This window comes from Homo sapiens, chromosome 18 (genome assembly GCF_000001405.40).
Source record: "Homo sapiens chromosome 18, GRCh38.p14 Primary Assembly".
In the NCBI taxonomy this organism is placed as follows: domain Eukaryota; kingdom Metazoa; phylum Chordata; class Mammalia; order Primates; family Hominidae; genus Homo; species Homo sapiens.
In genome coordinates, this window is record NC_000018.10 from 77,510,567 (window position 1) to 77,527,424 (window position 16,858).

At 39.9% G+C, this 16,858-nt stretch overlaps 1 long non-coding RNA gene across 1 annotated transcript in view, besides 1 other annotated feature; it reads left to right on the forward strand.

Annotated features, from left to right (window-relative positions):
• Positions 1-1,689: 1,689 nt before the first annotated feature.
• The window catches only part of LOC107985172 (uncharacterized), a 76,818-nt gene continuing 61,649 nt past the window's right edge, over positions 1,690-16,858 (forward strand). Inside the window, exons 1-2 of the long non-coding RNA XR_001753512.2 lie at positions 1,690-2,076; positions 12,266-12,356. This is a non-coding gene — a long non-coding RNA (uncharacterized LOC107985172). The remainder of the gene's footprint in view (positions 2,077-12,265; positions 12,357-16,858) is intronic.
• Positions 15,887-16,648: an enhancer, noted in NCBI's record as "H3K27ac-H3K4me1 hESC enhancer chr18:75238409-75239170 (GRCh37/hg19 assembly coordinates)". NCBI's record gives its function as "activates a minimal SCP1, AML or CMV promoter by ChIP-STARR-seq in naive H9 embryonic stem cells {active_cell/tissue: H9 hESC(naive)}" and the evidence as "EXISTENCE:reporter gene assay evidence [ECO:0000049][PMID:30033119]".

The window sequence follows — 16,858 nt, forward strand, 5'->3', positions numbered from 1 at the left end:
GAATTGAACGAGAACACATGGACACAGGGCAGGGAACATCATACACTGGGGCTTGACGGGGAGGTGGGAGGCTGTGGGAGGGATAGCATTAGGAGAAATACCTAATGTAAATGATGAGTTGATGGGTGCAGCAAACCAACATGACACATGTATACATATGCAACAAACCTGCAAGTTGTGCACATGTACCCTAGAACTTAAAGTATAATAAAAATAAAATAAAATTAAAGAAATCATACAAACTATTAAACATATACTTAATTTCCAAACAAAGGAAAAAACCTGCACTCATACCACCAAACCTAAAATAAAAGCTGAAAAAAATTCTGCTAGGGTTTATCAAAAGAAACTTATACGAAAGCCCACATATAAACATATATGAAAGTCTCTTATATGAAAGTTTCTTATATGAAAGCCTATATATAAAAATATATGAGGCCAGGAGCCATGGCTCATGCCTGTAATCCCAGCACTTTGGGAGGCTGAGGCAGGCGTATTACCTAAGGTCAGGAGTTTGAGACCAGCCTGGCCAACATGGTGAAACCCTATTTCTACTAAAAATACAAAAATTAGCCGGGTGTGGTGGCGGGTGCCTGTAATCCCAGCTACTTGGGAGGCTGAGGCAGGATAATTGCTTGAACCCAAGAGGTGGAGGTTGCAGTGACCCAAGATCGCACCACTGCACTCCTGCCTGGGCAACAGAGCGAGACTCCATCTCAAAAAAATAAAAAATAAAAAATAAATATAAATAAATAAAAGTATCTGTCTGCCTATCTATCTATCTATCTATCTATCTATCTATCTATCTATCTATCTATCTATCTAACTGTCTCTCCTCATCCTGCTGACCCATTCTTATTGAGAGTGGTGCCTCTTTCTCGCGGGAGTGATGATGAATTTGTCCTGGTCCAGTTTAGCCATTCACTGTTTCCTGGACTTCTCTGAAGCATTTAACACTGTCTCATTGAAATTCTCTTTCCTTAGCTACTGTGATTCCACACTGTTTGAATATTATCTTTGTAATTTCATTTTCTGATGTTTACTTTCTCTTCTAGTTAGTCCCATTTCCTCTACTGTAACCTAAATGTGCCACAGAACTCAGTTTGTTAAGCTTCTTTGCAGATCTCTTTTTCTTGGTGATTATATCAGCTGTTATAGTTTCAATAATCTATACCCAGATCCTGAATCAATACTTCCATTCAGATTCTACTGCTGTTCTCTCATTACCTATTAAATGTTCCCACTTGAACATACCGTACATGCCTAATTCTTGAAATCCAAATTGATTTTTTTCTCCTTTACACCTCTTGTTTGCCAAGAACACTCTATCTCCAAGCCTCAAAACGTGGAAACACCTGAGATCCTTCCTTCTTTCCTAACAGCCATCACATCATCTTGGATTTACTTAGAAAACGTCTTTTGCATTCATTGCCACGTATCTTCCAAATGCACCGTTCTAGTTCAATTTGTGATTCCTTGAAACTGAGATTACTAGACCTGTTATTTCTGCCCATAGAGTTTTTTTCTGCCCATAGAGATTATTAAACCTATTATTTCTGCCCATAGAGTTTTTATTCCACTAATCAAATTTATACATTGTAATCTCATTCACTTTCTCAAAATCTGCTTTTCGTTGAGTTTCCTCTCTGTTCCCCACAGCATCGGTGAATATTTATTTCTCATGAAACAACTTTCAGGCTCCTTATCCTGACCTGCAAAGCCCCCACGATCTTGTCACAGCTGTTCTAAACCCCACCTTTCACTTTTGCTTTCAGTACTCTCCACCTGACCCAGCCCTCTGCCCAGCCTTCCAAGCCACATGGGCAGGAAGCGTTGTGCTGCCCACTCCTGCTTGGTTTACTGTGCCTGCCTTTAACCTCTTGCCTTCTGCAAACCCATCCTCCTCTCCTCTCTGACAAGGGCCATCACCGTCTTCATAAAGAGAGCCAGTGACAAGTCCTGCCCTGGGACCTAGGAAAGACCCAAGAAGCCAGGATTATCCAGAACCCCAGATCTGCTGACTCCTCCATGTCCCCCGCCAAGGCTGGAGAAAGGCAGAACACTAACCTGAGACAGGTGAGTAGCCTGGGGCCCCATCGCCATGCTGTCCTCAAGGAAAACCTTTCACAGTCAAGTACACCTTTACTGAAGTCTCAAGTCTCTCAACCAGTCCCAAGTGTGATTTATGAAAGGTCATGATATTGGATGAAACTTAGTGAAACCAAGTCTCAACCTTACCTTTTTAAGGCTCAAACCAAGTCCTAACTTTTAAATAAGTATTAATTCTATGAATCATCTTTGTAGTCAGCCCTTTATTCTCTGATTAGTATTTGTTGCACCAGTTTCTGAGCACAGGTGATTTACCTTTTGAAGTCAGTTCTCAGTGACCGAATTCTCTCCTCACCTTGCTGCTGTAAGCACTCGAGGACGTTTCTCTGTGGTTCCTTCTTTGCAGGGCGGTCATACTTCCCTTTCTCCATTACGCACCCGACGAACACTTCCTGATCAAATAATTTTGAAATTATGGGTAGTTTATTAATTTTGCATCTCTGAGCTTTATTGTAGCAAGAGTGTGTTACCTTAGTATATGTGGTGGCTAGTCTGTTCTCTAGTCCTTTATCTGCAAATGTATAAACCAAGTCCTCTGGTTTTTGGATGAGTGGTACCACCTAAAATTGTGATCTGCTACTTTGTTCATCTGAGATGGGAGTTTTTCTTTTCTTGCCTGGAAACAAAAATTATAATTCTTAGTAGAAGAATAAAATTAGTAATGATATAAAAAAAGGCAGAGTAAAAAGATTTGTGAATTGCAAAGAACATGAAATCCTTGCTGCTTAACTTGCAAATTGGCGTGCTCTTGCTGTACTATGTTTTTAGCCAACTAATGGAAACACTTTCATCAAAATCCACCCAGAGACTTCATCATGCTTTTCACCAGATGTTCTTTGAAATATTGCTTTCCCATTTCATCACCGTAGTTCTTGCGACCTGAGTACTCTATTTTGTTATGTCAAAGGGAAGATGCCTTTGGTCAAAATGTCTTATCTTTCACTTTGCACAGTGTGCACTGCAACTAAAAAGGAAAATGGAATATGTGAGTTTTACTTTGACTCTGCCTTAGAAGCTATGCGTGTATGTTTAATTTTATTGGCTAAGTACTGGTCCACAATTTCTTATCTGTAATTACAAAATCCCAAAAGTTTTGGGAAATAAAGAGTATTTTTATTTTTTATTTTATTTATTTATTTATTTATTTATTAATTTTTGAGACAGAGTCTTGCTCTGTCACCCAGGTTGGAGTGCAATGGTGCATTCTTGGCACACTGCAATCGTCTCCTCCCGGATTCAAGTGATTCTCCTGCCTCAGCCTCTGGAGTAGCTGGGACTACAGGCATGTGCCACTACACCCGGTTAATTTTTGTACTTTTTGGTAGAGACGAAGTTTCACAGTGTTGGTCAGACTGCTCTCGAATTTCTGGCCTCAATGCCCGCTTTGGCCTCTCAAAGTGCTGGGATTACAGGTGTGAGCTAAATACATTTTAAAATACATTTTTTTACTATTAAATCTGTTCTGAACTAATGTGAGGCTAGTTATAATCTATATCCCATGTGGAATGTTGGATAACAAGGCGCTATCCCGGAACCTCCTGAAATGTTATATAATATGAAAAAAATCTTAATTCTGAAGCACATAAGGCACCAAGAGTTTTAGTAAAGGGACTGTGTACCTGTAATACATAAACATGGGTGAATAACTCAAAAATTATAGAATGATATGAAACAGAAAGTAAAATATTTTCAACTTCAGCCTCAATTTATTTTTCCTTCTATCCCTAACCTTTCATCAATTGCTCCAAATTAAGACATTCATATTGTTTTATTTATCTGTGGACCAAAATTTTCATACAAAAATTATTGGGCATTTTCCTGTCATTTTCTAATCACCTTTCAATATAATTGCGAAAACAAATGTAAATAAGATTATCCACTCTTTTGAAAGTGATTCTACTGTTTGAAAGGTTTGACTTGGAACAATTTTACTCAACTGTAGTTCAGAGTTGTTTCTTATTTATCCCAGTGTGTTTTTGGTTTAAAGCTCTATCTCTTGGATCTCATGTCTGCTTCTTGGATTTTTTTTTTAAATACTTGAGTATGTACTCTGATGTAAGTGATCTTGGCTCTCTCATATCTGAAACTGACTTATTTGTCCTGAATGACAGTTTAGCTGGGCATCAAATTGTTGTTTCTAAATACTTTTTCTCTGTAACCCTTGAAAAAGATGTACATTACATTTTAAAATTTCTATAATATAGTTTTCATCTACATTTGTCATTGTCTTTACACACAAGAAAATTAGGAAAAGTTTGCTTTGAAAACAAATAGTTCAGGGAATTAAAGTGTAATGGCAACTTTGGTGGCTGTATCCAAAATCTTTTCTAAGACTCAGTCATTTTTTTCTTTTATGTTATTCTTTCCCTCATCAAACTGCTACCTCTAATTCTAACAGGTAACATACATCACCATGTCTAGTAGCAAAATAAATTATTTGAATTAATTTTAGATAAAGATTATTTCTCAACCCCTTTTCTCTATAGGTTTTATATTATTATATTTCAATTATTTTATTAAATCAATATTTTATGGAAGTAAACACAATTGAGGTGCTTTGCTGCACTAAAATTTTATTTCAGGTGATTCAAATTTGATTTAAATTCTTTATTCCCCCCCCCAGAAATAAAATGGAAAAGGGAATCTAACAAGAACAATGGCCCATCTTTTACAGTTTGCGAAACAACATGATTTTAAATATTTTATTGGTTTCAAAGGTTGATAAATTCTAAATTTCTAGATTTTCTGATTTTCTACCAATTAATTGCATTTAGCTACAGATAGATTTGTCCCCTTTTAAATAGGTGGCCTTTGAAAATATAAATTCCACCCTCCCCTGTCCAGCTCCTTTCCTTCAGTGCCACTGCAAATCAGGACTGAGAGCCTCCACTTCAGATCACCAGGCACCAATTCATGTCAGCCTCATTTAGTTCAACTTGAAATAATTCTCATCTTTTACAATAACATTTTGGGTCTTGGGAGAAGGGCGTCAACTAAAAGGTGATTCAAATAAATGATTAATGAACATATTGGCACTGGTGGGATTATGGCACTTGCTCATTTCAAATCACACTTTCCTAAATGCTCAGCCTTTTAAACACATACTTTTTAAAGAAACTTATATATTTAAAATTAACCCCTCTCCTAATGACTTTGCATCTATTTGCTTTATTAGTGGAAGCTACAGAGCACACTATGCAATCTGTATTGATCCTTCAGGTTAATACGGAATTTAAAGTGAATCCTCCCCCTCTACCACTCTGGCTGAAAAAAAAGACCCTCCAAATATCACTTATGAATAGAAAAACATAGAGTTAAACAAACCACTGTCATCAGCTTGTCTTGTACTGAAACCGCTCTTTAGAAATGCCTTAGGCATGATTTTTAATACTAAAGCTTTTTTAATACTAAAAATATTTTTAAAAGGACATTTCTCTCTCTCCCTTATATATATATATATAATTTATATATATTATATTATTTATATATATTATATATATTATTTTGCATTAACCACTTTTAAACCAATGGCAATTGAAAAAGAATATTTTAAAAAGGGAATTAAATGGTGAGAAAGACTCTATGTACGGTGCATTTTCCTGTGTAAAAGCTAGGCTTTGGTTTATTATTTCTCATCACACGATACCATGAACACACTCTAATAAAGTTGCGTGCAATCTTCAGCAGGCACTGTTGTAGAATATAAACCCAGAGAATAGGCAAGTAATTATTTTGTGTGAAAAAATAACAACACGACAATTGTGTATGTATTTAATATTTATCTGCAAGTAAGACATAAATAGCACCTCACAAATGCATGTGGATTGACATCAGCCCTTGTAGTAGGAGGCTGACAGGGACTCCCTGCCTGCTTGTTCTCTTCATTGTCTTGTCATTTGTGGCTGGTTTTACTCTACTGTTTAAGTAGACTTAAAGACTTTTTTTCTGATTCAATCAAATTACTCTTATAAAATACACAAATGTCTTAAACAATTCCTGCTAAAACCAGAATTGAGCAGTCTTACCATCTCTAGTTTTCTTCCTTTCTCTTCAAATGTTGATTGGGATTGGATTGAATACCCAAATCAATTTTGAAGACATTGACCTACGTACTACCCTCAATTCATGAGCAATGTGTATTTTACCTTTAATGTAAGAATTTTAAAATTCTCTTCAGTAATGTTTGATATAGTCAGTGTATAAATTTTGTACATATTTCATTAATTTCTAGAAAGAAACGGAAGCTTTCTTTATTTTATATAGGCTAGCTGCCATAAAACTATGTTAAACATCATACATAATGGTGAAATGCAGTAGCTTTCCCTTTGATAATAAAAACAAGGTGAGCTATTCTCAACAATTTCATTCAACCTTTTATGGGAAATCAGGCCAGTGTAATACGGAAAAAAAAAATATCAGTAAGGGAAAAATACTCACCATTTTCATATAAGATTATATACTTAGAAAAATAAAATAAAGTTTTATATAAAATATTATAAATAATATGTGAGTTTTGCAAGGTTGCTGGATACAAATTAGTATATGACATTACTGAGAACAATGATTTAAAAGTAAGCATTTAAAAATATGCCATTTACAATAGCACCAAAAATGTGAAATGCTGCAGAAATGCATACACACATGCACCAGGAGACATACAAAACCCACTCACAGCAGCACTGTTCAAAATAACCCCAGGGCAACATCAACCCAGTGGCCGTCAAGAGTCAAATGGATGAGTCTGAGAAATGTAGTGAGACCTTGTCTCTACAAAAAACGGTTTAAAAAATTGGCTGAGCATAGTGGTGTGCACCTGTAGTCCCAGCTACTCAGGAGGCTGAGGTGGCAGGATCACTTGAGCCTCGGACGTCGAGATTGCAGTGAGCCTAGATCGTGCCACTGCACTCCAGCCCTGGCCACAAAGCAAGACCCTGTCTAAAAATAAACAAACCGTAAAAGAAAAAAGTAGAATGAATGATTCATTTAGAGAAAACTATACAGTACTATAAATGAAGGAATTACAGCTCTGTAAAACAATACTAGTGAATCGCCAAACGTGTTGATGCACGAAAGAAGTGACACCAAATGATCATACACCGTCTGCGGCGGCTTTTCTGTGTCCACAAAGAGACCCTCCCACAGGCACATGCATGATGCTGCTTCCCAGTGAGAAACTTCGGAGAGAAGACAGGAGGAGACGTGGAATGTTTCGGGGCTAGAAATGTCCATTTCTTGAGGTGTGTCGCGTGCGCGTTTTGACCTCGGACTGCACATGTGCGCCTCCACCCAGGGCTGGTCTTCAACGGGCAGGACCTGGAGACGGGGCGCACCGAGGCACAGGTGGAAGGTCCCCCCAAGAGGCTGCAGGGCAGAGAAGAGCCGCTCGTTCCTTGTGGGAACTGAGCTCCACGGGTCTGCCCGAGTGCTGCAACCTGAGAGTGTGTGGCCAAGAAGGTGAGTGAGCACGGGGGTCCGCTGGCCCGTCCCACCGAGGCTGTGCAGTGGTGCAGGGGACACGGTGCTGGGAAGAGCTGCCATGCCAGGGCCCATCCCCCGACGCCATCCCCGCCGAGAGAGCCAGGGTCTTGGGACCAGGGCCCGGACAGCCCCTGCAGGGGTTCCGCTCTGCAGAGTGGGCCCTTCGGCGGTCCTTAAATTCTTTGCAGTGAATGACCCAAGGGAAGGAGGGCGAGCGGGGAACCACGAGGCTCGGAGCTGAGTGGTGGCCTCAAGGACCCTTCCAGAATGCGAATGAATATTTACTGGAAAGAGACCATTAACCCAAAGCAACCAGAACGCTTTGAAGAGACAAGATGGATTTTCCTTTCCGTGGAGGGAAGAAGGGCTCGCCGAGGCAGATGAGTTAGCACGAAAAAGAGGGCGTCGTCCTTTCGAATACGTTTGACTGAAGAAAGTCTCAGGCTTATCAGGTCCATATCACACATATTCATAGATTCCTTAACTTTTACGTCAGAAGCGAATCCACTTTCCTTCTTTATGTCCTTTATTATTGTGAAATCAAAGGACTCCGAAAGGAAATTTACTCCTGTGTTTAAAACTGAAGTCTAGCTCGTGCTTCTGAAATGACGCATAAATAATTCAAGCTTGAGAGGGAAGAACTGGCCACACTTTGGAGGCGCCGAGCTGGGGAACCTGGTGTCCGAAGCCAAGCTCTGCTCGGGCCCAGGAGGACGCAGGGACATCGCACTGTCCCCCACGCCTGGCCTGTGCTCCTTTAATCTTGGTCCTAATGATCGAATTAAAGAGGGATACAAATCTTTGTAAAGAATCTCTGTTAGATGTCTACATGGTTCAGAGAAGCTTCTCAAGTGAACGCAGGGCTTCATAAACTTGGGATTTGCAGAACATTAATATTTAATAACGGGCAGCGTTTACTCCCTCCCCATTCTCCTCTCCTATACACACAATAGCTCAGACACACACAACCACATGCTCACACATGCACCCATAACTACACAATCACACACACAACCCTATACTCAAGCTCACAACTACAATCACACATACACACGGCCATGTGCTCACACATGCACAAACGACTACACAGTCACACACACAACCCTATACTCACACAACTACACACTCACATATGCACAGCCACAGGCTCACACATACACACATGACTACACAATCACACACACAACCCTATCCTCACAAACACACATACACAACCACATGGTCACACATGAACGTACGACTACACAGTCACACACATAACCCTGTACTCATGCACACAACTACACACACACACACACAACCACATGCTCACACATGCACGCATAACTGCACAATCACACACACAACCATATACTCAAACTCACAACTTCAGGCACACACATTCATACATGGTCACATACTCTCACATGTACATTCAACTACATAGTCACACACACAACTGTGTACTCACACAACCACATGCTCACACATGCACGCATAACTACACACACAACCATATACTCAAACTCACAACTGCAATCACACACTTTCCTACACGGTCACATGCTCTCACATGCACATATGACTGCATAATTACACACAGCCATATACTCACACACTCAAATACACAATTACACACAACACAATCACATACACATAATAACATGCTCACACATGCACATAGGACTACCCAATCACACATACAACTCTATACTTACACACACAATTACACAATCATACACACTCACACATGACCATATACTCACACATGCACATACAACTGTGCAATCACACACACAATCATAAACTCACAACTGCACAAGCATACACACAACCACATGCTCACATATGCACATACAACTACGCAATTACACAACCGTATACTCACACAACTACACAATCACAACCATATACTTACACACAACCACACTGTCACACCCACTCACACACATAAGGGATTTAAACCTAGACTGCATTCATTTTTAAAATAATCCCTATCTCAATGCTTTATGTATTAATATTAACACAAAAAACTGTCAACACAATGTTTTTCTGAACTAATTTTTAAGTATCATTCATATAGAAATAATTCAATGATCTAGCTTAGTGAATTTAAAAGGCAGTCATTTAATTTTTATAAAATTTGTAAAGTTTCAACTGAAATGTTTATTGTCTGTTTTTGTTGACACTGTTATTGTTAGGCTCAATAAAAATAATTTCATGGCGTTTCTAAGCAATTGCATCACTCCTCTATATCACATGATTTGAGTTATAACACAGTCATAACTAAATCATATATTGGGAAATCTCTCATAGCTTAAAAGCCAGGCAGCCTGCAGTGGCTTTGCCTTTCTGTAACCTTCTCCTTGTATTATGTGGTACATCCCACGGGGAGATTCTAGGATAAGATGACACCAATATAAAAATAAAATCACCTGAAGAGAGCAATTATAATGTCGTTTGTGAAGTTTTTCAGTGAGGTTATTTGGAATAAAATGACTGTTTTGTGTTCTGAATACACAGAAGTTGCATAAATATTTGCTATGTCCATGGTGGTCACTTAAAACAATGCACATTTTGGTTACCGTTGCTAGTCTTAGGGTGATCTGTGTTATAGGAAGTTTCTGTATTAAAAATGAGGCCCTCTTTGTACAACACATTTTTAATGTTTGCATTACATTTATTTTAATTAGCATAAGTCAATGAAAGAAAACCTTAATAAGACTGATAATTTTGGTGGTGAGCTTTGGTTACTGAAACGGGATGCATCTTCTAGGGATTTTCATAGACTCCGAGTAGGGCTCCCAGAGGCGAGTGCTGACGGCCGGGACTCCCCCTCCAGCTCACCTACCACAGGCTTCACACACAGACCTACTTCTGAGCTAGCTGCTGCTACATACAGTTACCTCACTCATTCCAAGATTAGTGTAAATATTAACATGCCTTTCTCCACCAAAAACTTAGTGACTTTGAGAACCCATTCCACAGAAACAAATAACCTCTTGATGGCTATCTCTCTCTCTGATTTATTTACAATAGCTCCTTTTAATCTTGTCATTTATTACCCGCACTAACTCAGGGTTGCTAGAATCCATCCATTCTTCCTCTTACACCTGCCTGATCAAACCGTCCCTGAAACAGGAGGTCCAGTGGTTCTAACAACTTGGCAGTTCCTGCACCTTCTGCTGGGTGGTTACTTGTGCACAGCCTTCTCTCACAAATATCAGACACAGATTTTCCACTAATTTATGTGATTATTTGCAAAATAAGGTGTATATTCCTCCTGAAATCATTTCTTCAAGAGGGCGGAATTTCCATTTGTTGGTTAACAAAACGGGAGCAGCCGGCCTGTGTGGGGACGAGGGGGACTATCCTTGTCCCAGCTCTGCATCAACAGATAACTGCCCTGTCACTCACACCACAATACTTCCCTCCTCCACCCTCCAACAATCAGCGACAACAATCGCAGTAAAAAGCTCTATTTGCCAAAAAAGTTAACTGACACCCGGATTAAAAAAATATATGGTGGATTTGCAGTTGTCTCTCACACTAAATTATCCTCTGATTCTATATCCAGCTGAACTCAATCCTGAGTTAGCACATATTTGATAGAAATATAGAGAAAGTGGAAGCAGGGAGAAGGTAAATGAATTGTCAAAAGCCCTGCAGCAATGAAGTTCTGCAGCCAGGAATGAAATCCAACATTTCCAGCTCAGAATCTCCCCTCCCCAGGATATGCAAGCAATGCTCCTTTGCACCCAGAAGACAAAACCTGCTTGGCTTTGAACCAGTGTGGATCTCTTGCCTGACAAAACTTGGTTTCTAAAGGTGTCAACGCTCTTCAGAATTACTTAAAATTTAAGTTCAGCACAACAGATTCTGAGATGTTTCCTAATGACAGCACTTCTGGAAGTCATTGGTTTATCCTGTTAGTTGCGAAACCCCATCCTCAAAATCCAGTTCCCACCGCCACTGAGAAGAGGTTGGAGCCAGCAGCGTGGCTAGCTGCTCTTGGTCTCCATGGTGACAGACATTGCCCCTTCTTCCGGGCAGCCTGCATGTTGATGCCATCCATGTCGTTTAAAGAAAGAGGCTGGTTGTGAGGAACAGATGCCCATGACCACCAAGTCATTCATTCTGTTCCAGCCCTGAACAAGTGATTGCTTCTTCCCACTTCGTTGTGTGAGAAAAGTGAGTCAAGATTCTGGCACAGAAACTAAAGTTAAGACAGTCATCTTTAGTGACCGCCCTGACAATGAACATAGTGTAACATCACTGTAATCTTTTATTCCAAAAAGTGGCCAAATGATGACGTGAGTGAGAGAAACTGATTAGCCAGAAGGGAAGGCTTTCTTCCTCTTTGTGAAGAGGTTAAGCACAGTGGTATTTGGCCAAGTGATGAGAACCTCCTACGTTCTTTTCAGGGAACTTTTCTTCTGAAAGGACTTTGGGTTTTGTTCATCAGTTTGAGTCATAGCAACTCATGAAGTCAGTGCCTCTTTTGAATTTTCTAGGAGGTTAAGTAAGTTGCCTTCAACCTTTGAAGTTTCAATTTCTACCACAAAAGGTAAAAGTATAAATAATAATGATATTAGAGGCAATTATCTTAAACACTGACCCTTAGAAGTGGTGGACGGTCCACTGTCGTGATTCAAAGCATTTATCAAGTGTTTGAATATGTGTTTTGTGATTATTCTAGGTTCCACACAAAAATAACTGAAGATGGGCCTCCAGTCTTACGACGCCACAAAGTGCCCTGACACCACTGAACACGAAAACTCATTGCAGAGGTCAGAACAGTACTTCATCAATATAAAATGTATTACCTGTATCACACTTATCACATAGTACATGTTTTTCAATCAGTCAATAGTGTTGTATTTGGAACTTGTTCTGTGCAAGAACAGATTTTGGAACTTGTTCTGTGCAAGACCAACTTTCAAATATTGTAGAAAATAGAAAAATTTGACTTATGGCTTCTGTTCTCAAAAAGCTTATAGCTGACCATTTTAGAGTCAGCCTCAGGAGAGAAGGGCACTGCTGGAAGCAGAGTTGTAGTCAAGAAAGGAGAGTTCTTGGACCACCAGGCTGAGCCATGGGGCTGGGGGTGGTGAGAGGAACTCGTTAACACCTGAAGTGACCAATCACTCAGAGACTTTCATCCACTGGGTTGCCTTCTTACTTAACAGATACTTGCTCTTCACCTACTGGGCTTCGAGCACTGTGTGGTCTATGCCTTGAGGATCACTTTCCAATTCATAAGGCTTATAAACAATTTTCTTTTAAAATACATTTAATTTATTGAGACATTGTATGAGCAAAATCATAAACAAGGGGCCAATTCAGAAAATAAAAAAAAAACTCTGGATTTTAATATAGTCAATGAGTTAAGAAAATAGTCAATGTGCTTTTTAAGGAATGAGTAAGAGTTGACTAGATAGAGAGACTGGCTAGGGGTATATCAGGTACAGAAAAAGCTTCAGTGGTTCCATATGAATTTTAGGATTTTTTTTTATTTATGTAAAAAATGTCACTGGGGTTTTGATGGGGACTGCACTGAATCTGCAGGTCACTTTGAGTAGCACGGACGTTTTAACAATATTGACTCTTCCAATCCATGAACATCACATCTTTCCGAAAACTGTAGTCATAACACTTCTTGATTCCAAAATATATCACAAACCAACAGTAATTGAAAAAGGTCTGGCAGTGGCATAAAGACACATAGATAAATGAAACAGAAGAGAGAGCCTAGTAATAAATTCAAACCACAATGGTTAACTGATATTGGACAAGTTCCTAAGAGCACACATTGGGGAAAGAACTGTCTCTTCAACAATGGTGCTAGAAAAACTGGATATCCACATGCAAAAAATTAAAATTGAAGCCTTATCTTATATCATACACAAAAATCAACTCAAACTGGGTCAAACTCTTAAATGTAAGACCTGAAATGATTGAGCTCCTGAAAGAAAACATAGGGGAAAACCTTCTTTATATTGGTCTTGGCAATGATTTCTTGGCTAGGACATCAAAAGCACAAGCAATAAAAGCAGAAAGAGACAATTGTACTACATCAAACTAAAAATCTCTGCACAGCAAATGAAGCAATCAACAGAACCCATAGGTGAACTTTTCATCTTGTTGACTGGCAGCCTATGGATTGGGGAAAACTATTTGCAAATCATTATCAGCCTCAGATGATAAAAGGCTTACACCCAACTATATAAAAAAAAGCTCTTACAACTCAGTAGTAAAACAATAATAGTCTAATAATATGATTTTAAAAATGAATGAAAGTCTTAAATAGCCATTTTTTTCAAGGAAGACATACAATTGACCAATAGGATCTATGAGAAAATGCTCAACATCACTAATTATCAGGGAAATGCAAATCAAAACCATAATGAGATATTACATCATACCTGTGAGAATAGTTATTATTTAAAAAAAGAAGTGTTGATGATATTGCAGAGAAATTAGAAACCTTGTACACTGTTGATAGGATTGTAAATTAGTGCAGCCATTATGGAGAGCAGTATAGAGGTTCATGAAAAAATCAAAATAGATTGATTCAACATGATTCAGCAATTCCATTTTTCAACATAAAATCCAAGAGAAGTGAAATGCGTATGTCAAAAAGATATCTTCACTCCTGTGTTCATTGCAGTATTATTCTCAATAGCTAAGATATGGAAACAACCCAAACGTCTATCATCAGAGGAATGGATAAGGAAAATGTGGTATATTCCTATAGTGGGATATTATTCATCCTTAACCAAGAAAGCGATCCTGCCATGTGCAACAACGTAGATGTACCTTGAGGACATTATGTTAACAGAAAGAAGTCAGCCACAGAAAGACGAATACTGAATGATTTCATTTACATGAGTTCTCTAAATTAGTCAAACATATGGAAGCAGACAGTAAAATTGTGATTACTAGGGCGAGGGGGAAGGGTTTCTGTTCAGTGGGTAGAGTTTCAGTGGTGCAGGGTGGATAGCTGTAGACATCGGCAGTACAGCACAGTGCCTATAGCTAACAACACTGCACTGAAGTGTCCTTGAAAATGCTGCATTGCACACTTGAAAATGTAAATACTGCATTGTGCACTTGAAATGTAAATCTCACTTGACACGAGATCGACCCTCTTATATTTTCTGGTGCTACTCTTGGCCTTGTCTTTGTCTTCCCTTACCAAAAAAAATAAAAAATACACAGAAACACAAAGAAACTTTTGGATGGAATGGGTATATTCATCACCTCGATATGGTGATGGTTTCATGGGTGTAAGCTATGCCCAAACCCATCACATCATATGCATTAAAGATGTGCAGAGTGTTTGTGTACCAGTTATACTGCAATAAAGCTGTGAAATAAACAAAAGACTTTAGTAAGTTAATGCGGAGAGACATTACCACCGTATTTCAAGAGAGAGCCAGTAGTCCCATCTGATCCAAAAATGTCACCAAGAAGCGTAGACTGAGAGACAGGGATGGAAAAGGAGTTTGGCCTTAGATTCGGGACGCTGTTCGGCAATTACCATCAGTTCTGAAATACTCTGTGGGAAATTGGAAAGTATTTAAAAACACAAGAAAAGCAATCCTAGCGCACGACACTGTAGGTTTTCACAGTATTCTTTACTTGTAAAAGCAGTACCTGGCTGGGTCTCCGCATTGCCACAGGGTTTACCAAGATGCAGACTCTGATTCAGGAAATTGTGTGAGGCCCAAGATGCCTTATTCTATGTTTTTAAATCGCCATTTTATTTTTATGTTATTGGCTACTGGAAATATAGTAAGCGATGTGGAATTTCCAGCAGTTCCCTGGATCCACACTCCGACTAACCAGGAGCAACAGGAGTTGAACTTATCTGGAGCCATGAAATTGTACTGCAAATGGGATAGAATGTTTCCCTATGTTGGGTCAACAGTGTGAGAATCGTGATTCAGGAAAGAGAACACAGCCCTTGGTAAATCCAGATTGCTGGCTGATATGGTTTGGCTATGTCCCCATTCAAATCGCAACTTGAATCGTATCTCCCGGAATTCTCACGTGTTGTGGGAGGGACCCAGGGGGAGATAATTGATTCACGGGAACCAGTCTTTCCCGTGCTATTCTCATGATAGTGAATACGTCTCACGAGATCTCCTGGGTTTATCAGGGGTTTCCTCTTTTGCTGCTGCTTCATTCTGTCTTGCTGCTGCCATGTAAGAAGCGCCTTTCTCCTCCCGCCGTGATTCTGAGGCCTCCCCAATCATGTGGAGCTGTAAGTCCAGTTAAACCTCTTTTTCTTCCCAGTCTCGGGTATGTCTTTATCAGCAGCATGAAAACAGACTAATACACTGGCTTAGAAAGAAGTGGCAACAAGAAATGAAACTTCATTGAAAAGCAGAATACACTAAAGGCCATAGCCCAGACACAGCCTCCTTCTTGTGGAAACAGACATCTGTGTGTGTGCACGTGTGTATGTGTCTGTGCGTGTGCATCGTGAATGTGTCTGTGTGTGTGCACGTGTGCATGTGTCTCTGTGCGTGTGCATGTGTCTCTGTGTGTGCACGTATGCATTTGTGAGTGTGCATGTGTGCATGTGTCTGTGCGTGTGTATCTGTGAATATGTGTGTGCACGTGTGCATGTGTCTGTGTGTGCATGTGCGCATGTCTGTGTGTGCATCTATGAATGTGTGCATGTGTCTTGTGTGCATGTGTGCATGTCTGTGCATGTGCATGTGTGTGCATGTGTGCGTGTGTCTCTGTGCACGTGTGCATGTGTCTGCGTGTGCATGTGTGCATGTCTCTGCACGTGTGTGTGTCTGTGCATGTGACTCTGTGCACATGTGCGTGTCTGTGCATGTGCATGTGTGCATGTGTCTGTGCCTGTGCATGTGTGTGTCTCTGTGTGTGTGTGCATGTGTGCGTGTGTGCATGTGTGCGTGTGTCTCTGTGTGCACGTGTGCATGTGTGCATGTCTCTGTGTGTGCATGTGTGTGTGTGCATGTGCCTGTGTGCATGTGCACGTGTGTATTGTCTGTGCACATGTGCAAGTGTCTCTGTGTGTGAACATGCACATGTTCATGTGTCTGTGTGTGTGCATGTGTACGTGTGCATCTGTACATGTGTCTGTGTGTGTGCATGTGTCTGCGTGTGCATCTGTGCATGTGTCTGTGTGCACGTGTGTATGTGTGAGTGTGCACATGTGCAAGTGTCTCTGTGTGTGCACATGCACATATTCATGTGTCTGTGTGTGTGCATGTGTCTGTGTGTGTGTGCATGTGTCTGTGCGTGTGCATCT